The sequence below is a fragment of the Homo sapiens genome, chromosome 5 (assembly GCF_000001405.40).
Source record: "Homo sapiens chromosome 5, GRCh38.p14 Primary Assembly".
Classification (NCBI taxonomy): Eukaryota; Metazoa; Chordata; class Mammalia; order Primates; family Hominidae; genus Homo; species Homo sapiens.
Window position 1 is genome coordinate 77,844,065 of NC_000005.10, and position 8,465 is coordinate 77,852,529.

At 48.7% G+C, this 8,465-nt stretch overlaps 8 annotated features.

Annotated features, from left to right (window-relative positions):
* Window positions 503-1,369: an enhancer, noted in NCBI's record as "H3K27ac-H3K4me1 hESC enhancer chr5:77140391-77141257 (GRCh37/hg19 assembly coordinates)". NCBI's record gives its function as "activates a minimal SCP1, AML or CMV promoter by ChIP-STARR-seq in naive and primed H9 embryonic stem cells {active_cell/tissue: H9 hESC(naive and primed)}" and the evidence as "EXISTENCE:reporter gene assay evidence [ECO:0000049][PMID:30033119]".
* Window positions 1,855-5,243: an enhancer, noted in NCBI's record as "VISTA enhancer hs1783; NRF1 and E2F4 HCTs in TCBA and LOC101929154 intergenic region, chr5:77177499-77180887 amplified region (NCBI36/hg18 genome assembly coordinates)". NCBI's record gives its function as "enhancer in: neural tube[4/5] | hindbrain (rhombencephalon)[4/5] | midbrain (mesencephalon)[4/5] | forebrain[4/5]" and the evidence as "EXISTENCE:transgenic organism evidence [ECO:0001131][PMID:17130149, PMID:20363979]".
* Window positions 2,264-2,848: an enhancer, noted in NCBI's record as "H3K27ac-H3K4me1 hESC enhancer chr5:77142152-77142736 (GRCh37/hg19 assembly coordinates)". NCBI's record gives its function as "activates a minimal SCP1, AML or CMV promoter by ChIP-STARR-seq in naive H9 embryonic stem cells {active_cell/tissue: H9 hESC(naive)}" and the evidence as "EXISTENCE:reporter gene assay evidence [ECO:0000049][PMID:30033119]".
* Window positions 2,695-3,310: a conserved region, noted in NCBI's record as "conserved region; HCT with multiple NRF1 binding motifs". NCBI's record gives the evidence for it as "EXISTENCE:sequence alignment evidence [ECO:0000200][PMID:20363979]".
* Window positions 2,982-3,904: a conserved region, noted in NCBI's record as "conserved region; HCT with multiple E2F4 binding motifs". NCBI's record gives the evidence for it as "EXISTENCE:sequence alignment evidence [ECO:0000200][PMID:20363979]".
* Window positions 3,575-4,523: an enhancer, noted in NCBI's record as "OCT4-NANOG hESC enhancer chr5:77143463-77144411 (GRCh37/hg19 assembly coordinates)". NCBI's record gives its function as "activates a minimal SCP1, AML or CMV promoter by ChIP-STARR-seq in naive and primed H9 embryonic stem cells {active_cell/tissue: H9 hESC(naive and primed)}" and the evidence as "EXISTENCE:reporter gene assay evidence [ECO:0000049][PMID:30033119]".
* Window positions 7,135-7,644: an enhancer, noted in NCBI's record as "H3K27ac-H3K4me1 hESC enhancer chr5:77147023-77147532 (GRCh37/hg19 assembly coordinates)". NCBI's record gives its function as "activates a minimal SCP1, AML or CMV promoter by ChIP-STARR-seq in naive H9 embryonic stem cells {active_cell/tissue: H9 hESC(naive)}" and the evidence as "EXISTENCE:reporter gene assay evidence [ECO:0000049][PMID:30033119]".
* Window positions 7,645-8,152: an enhancer, noted in NCBI's record as "H3K27ac-H3K4me1 hESC enhancer chr5:77147533-77148040 (GRCh37/hg19 assembly coordinates)". NCBI's record gives its function as "activates a minimal SCP1, AML or CMV promoter by ChIP-STARR-seq in naive H9 embryonic stem cells {active_cell/tissue: H9 hESC(naive)}" and the evidence as "EXISTENCE:reporter gene assay evidence [ECO:0000049][PMID:30033119]".

Genomic DNA, 8,465 nt, shown 5'->3' on the forward strand with positions numbered 1-8,465 from the left:
AAATACTATGCATTATTTGCAAAAGTGTCTTCAGCGAGCCCGAGACAGTATGTTAGTGAATGCATTTGGCCGTCCCGCACAACCTAGCTCACTGATCTGGGAACTGGGGCCCTCCCAGAGAAGCGGGCCCTTCCCCCCTCCCCAGTGAGAGGCTGGCGCCGCACTTGGGGCCGGAGGAGTGGGGGCCGGGCAGGCGGCGCGCTCGCTCCTCTCTCCGGCTGCTTTTCTGCCTTCCTTTTGTTTGGTTGCCTCCTCTTCCCCCTTGGTTGTTGATTATTAGTATTTTCCTAGTTTTCCAAACTAATAAGTGCCACTATCAGGCAGTTGGAAGCTCTGGGAGGCTGCAGGCTTTGCCGCTCGGCCTTAATTGATATTGAACGAGCTGCTGGTAGACGGGAACAGGGCCGCTGCTGGATAATTTGCAGTTTAATCAGCGTTTGTAATGAGAGCGGCTGATTAGGGCTGTTGGAAATAAAAGAGAGTTACAAGGAACGTCTGTCAGAGTCCGGTGATAATTCAGGACTAATTGTGGTGATTAGCGCAAACTGGATGACTTTGGGCTTTGCTAATGCAAAGAGAAACGTGCAGGCTCCAGCCAGGGACCCCTCGGAGAACAGTGCATGGGCTGTGCGCAACTTTGCTGAGCCATTTTCCCGCGAGGCCCCCAGCGGCGCGGGGGCTGTGGGGAGGTGGTGTGGGAGTACGGTCGCTGCTGCGCGGCGTGGGGAGAACTGGAGCGGCTGCCCGGACGCCCCCGCCCTGGTCCCGGGTACTTTCTCGGCCTGGCTGCAGCCGCGTGGATGTCTCTCGAAGCCTCCACCCTATTCTCCTTATTGTTATTTCCACTCACCCCCCAACCCCCTCCCGCCGTCCTGGTTCCAGACCGCCTCTCTCAGGCTGCCGGGGAGGGGGCACATCGCGCCCTCCCCGAGACCCTCGGCTCCCCGCTTTACCCACGCGCGCGCCTCCTCGTGGGGAGCGTCCGAGCAGGCAGGGCTTTCCGGACATCCCTCCACTACCCCGTCGTCTCCTCCTTCCACTCTCTCAGTCCTCTAGGCCCTCACCTCTCTCCCCCAAAGAAATACTCTATCCACCCCGCTCCCCCAAACCGCTGCTCCAGGTGGGTGTCCCGCAGCCTGCACCAGCCTAGACAGGCAGAACCTGCCGCCTGAGCAGGGGAAAAGAGTGCTACCGCTTATAAACGGCCGGAGTTCTCATTATTGAGGAGTTTCATAACTCTTTAATTCATTTTTAATGATGGCAATAAACATGGTAGTCATTTTGGAACAATAGCTAAAAATCATAGGGCCATTACTGTCCATTAAAACAGTGTTTACAGTTCAATGGAGGTTCACGTGCCCCGTAGTCATTCATATTAGCCAAAGGAGAGATTTATAGGTCAGAAGAACGGTTCTCTTTTTATTCTTTATACAGCATAAAGCCTATTGAGCAAATTGTTAAAAAAAAAAAAAGTTCACTTGGCTTTTAATCGTGTGAATGGGGATTAAGTAAGGAGCTGTTGTCTGGCGCCTGATTTCTATTTGATCAATAAATCATCAAGTGCTTTAAGTGCTTTATTCTCTATCAAATTAAATGAAAAATACTTTAACCTGCGTCCCTGGTGTCGGCAGATAAAGCTAATAATATTTTCTGTTATGTTTCCATTTAGGCATTTAACACTCAGAAGAATCTACTAGGTCTTGCTTGCACCGTCTTTATCTATCTCTCTCTATTAGAGATACTACATATTTATCCCACATACCTACAGACACAGGGAATTCTCAACATCAAGAGGAGAGCTTACTTGTTTCCAGGAAGAAAATCTAAGTAGGATCTCCTAATGTACACCAAGTATTTCAGTCACCAGCTCCAACTAATATGGCTACACCTTAAAGAGCAAGGTGGAGGTGCAGGGGTTCAGGTCCCACAGGCACCTGGGGAGCTGGCTCTTGTTGGCTGTTACAGGCTTGGAATAACATTTTACCTGAGTGTTTGCCCTTTTCTCTTTGATTCCAATTCTTACTAAAATAATAAATCAAAACAATAGGCCCAAAGGAAGAAATCTGTATTATTTCCCAGATTCTTCTGTCCTATATTAGATATTACCTAATATAATATGTTTTATATATCCTGCCCTGCCTTTGGAGAACTGGCTGGCAGAACAGGCCCTTCCAGACCTAGAACCATAACTACGAGGTCTGTATTTTATAGGATAATATAATTCAAATATGGTGTTTAGGTACCAAACCATGTTTTTTCATTTCATGTGTTTCACAAAAGATTTTCCCTTAGTGTGTACATTTTGGAAAGTTGTTTGTTTTTTTTTTCTTCTTTTATGCCTGGGGTGACGTGGCTTTGGCCTGTAAAAAAAAAATGCAATCCAATGATATTTGTGAAGTTTAATTGCTAACTTAGCAGCTCGGTCACACCTCCCAACCCATTAGATGATGAAATCTCACCTGGTTAACGGGTACAGCACTGTGGCCTCAATGGCGAACGCCTGATTATACAGCCAAGCTGCTAATTTACCAAACCTCCCAGCCAGGGAGGCCTGGACGGCCACCACTTACTGTATTCATGCGGTAGCTAAGAGAAGGAACCGTATTCCCTGAGCCGCTTTCCAGCTACCCGCAGAATGAGAAATGTAAAATTAGTGGAGATGTGTGCATGAAGGGAGCCGAGCAATTAGCAAGGCGCGGGCGCCCGCTTGCCCAGAGGGGGTCGGGGAGGGCGAGTGGGGAGACCAGGGCGCGAGGGCAAAGGGCTCCCTTCCTGGCAGGCTGCGGTCTGCAGGCCTTGGCTGCGGCGAGGTCAGCGCTTGTGCAGCAGCCCCCGCTGCAACGGCTCCCGGTTAAGAACAATGCTGCTTCCTACCATCCCTTTACAATGTACGCCTGTCCGTGACTTTATACCCACTTGAGGCCCACAAGGCACCATTGGGAGCACACACACTCTCTTTTTCTGTTTCTCCCCAGCTTGGCCCGGCAAAAATCATGTTAAACATCCAAACGCTGCAAACTTAACAACTGTCAGCATCTGTACAAACAGTTCTCAAATCCTAGAACATCGATCTTAGGAAGAGGGGCCTGAGGCCTCCAAGCAAGACCTTGGAGTCCCTCCGGCTAGTACCCCATCCTCATTCTCTTTTCTCCCACACCTCCCCAGTTTGTAGCTCCCAGATAGCCACTCTCCTTGGTGGCTGCAGGGCTTGGCTGCTAAGTGCAGTGCAAGGCTTGTGATCTGGGTTTCCCTCCGCCCAGTGTACGGATGCGCATAAGCTGGATATTAACAATGGCAGTGTGCGCTCGCACCTCTGCCTGCGAGGGCAGGTGTCTGTGTACAAGTTCTGTTAGATGCAATGTGGAATTACGTGCATTTGTGCAGGTTTCTAAGCCATTTTGCAGCCGAGTTGTTGCTCTGAGATTGGATGAGGGGGCCAAAGAGAATGCCCCTTTTCAGGGGCTTCAAGGCTACCTTTACTTCCTCTCCTTGCAGTTCCAGGTGGCAAACCCAACCCTGTCCTCTCCCCACCCTCCCTTAAAACCAACCAAACAGTTCACAAACCCTTATTTATTTGTTTGTCTGTGGTTATTGCCCATGTTATTAATTGCACCCAGGACTTCCTTGCTCTTTGAGAGAGCAGCGGTATAAATTGGCTCTAATAAATATTAGCTGCTAGATTAGGCGAGGTGAAGCTGGCACCGTGCTCTATTTTCGACCTGTAGCCTCTGCGAAGCCGCCAGTTCTGCGCCAGATTAGCCCCATCCATCCAGTGTCAATGGTTGTCTTGTTGAGAAAATCAGTGAGTAAACAGGGCTGACAGAGAGGGGGCCCAGCTGATTACTCATACAAATAGACTGCAAACTCCTCCAGGAGAAGCTGTTTCCAGAGATGGGTTTCTCGCATTGACAAGGCTGCTTCTCCCAGGATCCTGTGTCCTGCTGTTCCCACTTTGTCCTCCATCAATCACACAATTGTGTCCGGGATGTTTTATAGAGTCACTTAATATCCCTGCCTTCATCTCTATTCACTTAGAGAATCATCTGCCATCAGGGCTAAAGGCTTTCTGCAGGATAGGACTGGCGACACACCCGGGCAACAATAGCTCTGGTGGAAACAGGGCCTGGCGCCCTTTCTGATGCTAATAGAACAGCCCCGGGATGTTCCAGTGTGAGGCAGCTCCTATTGAAATCGGCCATTAGCCCTTTGTCCACTGCATTAAATTATCCCCTGGGCTAGTCCATGATAGGGGTATGGAGGCCACCATAAGTTTTCTTTAAAAATTATTTCTTTTCCCCTAAAATGGTTTTTGGATTTGAGAATTGGTCATGATGAAAGTCATAAGTGCTTTCTCTCTTCTTTTCTTTACAAAGTAGGGGGAATTATGTTTAGGCTAAATGTATAGAGTACTTTCGGCCTTTATCCACTTCTTCATATTATTAGCAGAACTCTGCCCGCCTGTGCCCCTACCCACCTCACTCCTCCTATTCCTCACCCTCTGCCTCTAGCCAGACTGTCCTGTCCAGATAGGAAAGGATTAAGTGACATTTAGTTTTAGACCAAAAGCAGAGCATCTTTTAAGCAGAGAATTTCCACAACTAAGAGGCCAGCTGGATACAAAATTACATTTTACGGGGGAATTTTAAAGACAGAAAAAAGAATTACAAGGTATCACTCTTTGAGTGGCTCATCTACAAATTAGATTGCTACACAATTAATCAAAAAGTTAATTAATGAGCAAGTTACTAATTAGGACATCTAAAACCAGTGTGTTTATAGTACCTTCATTTAAAAAAAGCCCCTTTAGTTAATTGGCCCACACACTGATCTCATAACTGCTAGTGGAGGCTAAAATACTATAGATGTATTATTTATTATGTATAAGTCCTAATTATGTCACCACTGCATTCTACACTCCATAACTGACAGAATGTTACAGTTAATTGGAAAGGTTGGCATTTAGGAAAATATAACCAGACTAGTCTATGAAACCCACTAAATATATCTACATTTACACTTTTTCCTGGGCAGGGACTCCAGGAGGGATACTTATGTTTTCTGACTGGTCTCTGGGAGTTCAAGCTCACAGAGCCTCCTGTTTATGAAACCTCATAAGCCCTAAAAGTTTATGATTTGCTTTGGAGAATTGCTTATGACTGAAAATTCAGAGGCAAAATTAGGTTTGGGAGTTTGAACTCCTGGGGCTCCCACTCACTGAAATGGAGCACTATGTCCCAAAGTGGGGTCTTTTTAAAAAAAAGTTTACATTAAAACAGGGGTTTCCACTGATAATTTTCATAATATTTGCAAAGGACAAATGTCAAGTTAATTTCATTAAAAACAAGAGTACATTCAGGTGAACTGAACATTCCCTCTCTTTATTGTGTTTTCCACCTGGCTAGTACCCTAGCATTCGCGCTTCTGAATGGCTAATGGTCTCTAAGCGTAGGCCCTAGGCTACCTGGAGCGCTTCCCTTTACTTTGGAAGAGAAAACAAAGTTTAAAGCTGGAGTCTCAAGGGTTGAATCCTTATCCCCCTCCTCTTTTCATTGTATCAATCAAAGCCCCAAACCAACCCGGCCCCTTTTCTGAGACTGTGACCTGGAAGATCTACCATAGCCAATGCCATCCTCCACTCCCCCACAGTGACCTTCTCTGGAGAGGGTGCAGGGGTGAGGAGTTGGGTAGATTGGAGGAGGAGGCCTGCCCCACAAAATGCTTTCTCTCCAGGCCCTAGGCCTCCCGCATCCACTCCACCCCTCTAAGAGTCTCTGAACTAGATTCTTCTGAGGGGAGAAGGGAGGACCCTGTGTCCAGACAGAGACTCAGATAAAGGCTTTCCAGAGAGAGGTCAATACGCTGCAAACAACCAGCTTTGATCTTTAGCCACAGAGGAAGGTGGCAACACCCCACACAGACACACACAGACACACACACACACACATGCAGGTTACCCCAGCGAGGAGAACACACATAGGTAATTTTAATGAAAGAGGTTCCTGTACCACATTATTAGCAATAAATCTACACCATTCTTTGTTGGTTAAAATCATTATGATCATCATCGCTATCATTACTGAACTCATTATTCTTGTGTTACTATCAGAGTAGATTTATGATAATACCCACCATTACGCCTGAGTTAAAGAAGGTGTAAAGGTTTGATTAATAGCTGCTTTCATGTTTTAATATTCAACATTTTCTCACATTTTTTCTAAATAAGGACGATGATAATTACAGGCGGTAATTACTGCTTTTGTTAGGAGTGTGTAATTAGCCACATATGCATTGTTCTTTAAAAAAAAAAGCGCAGGTTTGGGAGCTGGATCATAAGTCTAGGGGTGGGCAAACAGAGCTTGGACAGGTCACCCACGGACGTTTTGACAAATCGAGAGATGGGTCCGCAGCTCTGCTCCATGTCTACCTGCCCGGGACACCAGGAATTTGCTTTGAATGAAACCAGGTGAGGTTGGAAATAAAATATTTGGACGGGTTTACTAGGAGGGGTGGTGCGCCTGCAGACCTGCGGGTGTCTGAGATTCGCTTCTCAAGAAGCAACTCTGGCCCAGCCGTAAGGCCTCATAAGGCCTCGGGCTCGCGGGCCCGGCCTGAGGCAATGTGGCCCTTATCTGTGTGCTCCCTGGTATAAAAACGCCCGGGCCTTGTCTCCTCCCGCCCAGCCGACGCCAGGCGCGCAGTCAGCCCCGCATCCGTCATTTTCCCTCATTGACTTAGCCCAAGAGCTTCCTCCGAGCTCCCAGACTATCTGTCCCTTAAAGGTTACACGCTGCCGTGCCTCGCTTTGTCTTCCTCGTGCCCTTTCCTGGCAAAAATGGAGACATCACATCCTTGCCCAGCCCCAGCTCAGTATTTATGAAGGTTTTCTGACAAATAGGCAGGCTGGCCACGCATGGGTGACTGCCTTCATTCCGCACTTGGCTTGTTTACATAGGACCAGCACCATTTCCACGGATTAAACAAATCACAGGGAGAAGGAGACATTTATAACCCGCCAACGAGGCCACAGGCAGTTGGAAAAAAATGTGCTAGTGAGTGTGTTGCGCGACTGTGCAAAGTGAAAATGAATGCCCTCTCTGCAAGGCTGACCTTCGGGAGAGGGTGATCCCGGCAGCCCGTGTGTTTGCCGCACGCGAGGGACATGCGTGCAGAGGGGCCGCGTGGATTCGCGTGTCAGGGAGGGTTTAGACTACTGGTTAGAGTGCCATTCAATTACTCGGAGTTGGACCTCTCCCGAGGACACACACAAAGGCCAGGGAGCGCGAGTGCGCGTTCCCTCTCCCAGAGTGTGTGTATGTGTGTGTCTATGTGTGACTGTGCCCGTGGGACACTGTGCGCGCGACCATCGCAGGACCCTCCATCCAGCAGTTAACCCTTGGCAGGCCGGCTCAGGAGAGAGGAACTCCGAGGGGGCGCGCTTCTGCTCTACTCCAGCAAGGCTTTTACAGGCCGGCGCGAGGTGCGGGCGGTCCCGTGCGCGCGCGCGCGTGTATGTGGGTGTGTGTCTGTGTGGTGGGTGTGTAAGAGGGACAATGTGTGTGCCTGCACGTGGCGTGTGCGCGTGTGATCAAGTGTCTATGTGGCGTGTGCGTGTGTGGTGTGGGTGTGCGCGGCGTGCATGTGTGCGTGTGTGCACGCGCGAGAAGTGCGTGTGTAGGCGCGTGTGCAAGTGCGCGCGCGTGTGTTTACACTTCCAGAAGTCAAATCCTTTCTAGGACTCCCCCTTGCTTCACCCGGAAGTGTTCGGTGACCCCTCCACCCAATTAATGAAAACAAAGCAAAGGGCCCGAGCGGGCCTCCGACAGCCCGGGGCTTGCGGAGCTGGACGCCGACAGGGCGTCAGCCCGGTCGCTCGCGGCGCGGAGGCTGCTGCGGTTCGGAGCTGGGGTTCTGCACTCTCGCTCCCGGCTCCCGGCTCCCGGCTCCCCGCCACCCGCAGCCTCCTCGCGCCGCCGCCGCGGGCACCGCCGGGGCTTCAGTGACACCAGGCACCCGCCCCGGGCCGCGGGAGGAGGAAATTCCCTGCAAAATAGCAATGGTTCCGAGAAAAGGATCACAACAAAATATTGAATAAATTCCCTTTTAATTTATTTGATCATTCCACATTACGGGGCTATGAATTGCTCAAATTTGATAACAAGTACTCAATTCAACTCATTATGTAAGTTAAATTAGACTTCGATAAAATTTCAGTGGCGCGCAGTGGTTCCTCGAATGAAATGTAATTTGTGCAAGAATTTGTTGTATCTGTCACAAATATTTCCAATTAGCGACCGTAATTATTTGATAGTTTCTGCAATTATGGCTTAAACGGGTGAATTTGGGACTGTGGAGGACCCTAATTGGCCTAAATTTGATATTTTGCATATTTGCATAATGAGGAAATTGGTAGAAAATTGTGTTCATTCATTTGTGAAAAATCCTATGAATTTTATGAATTTGAAAGC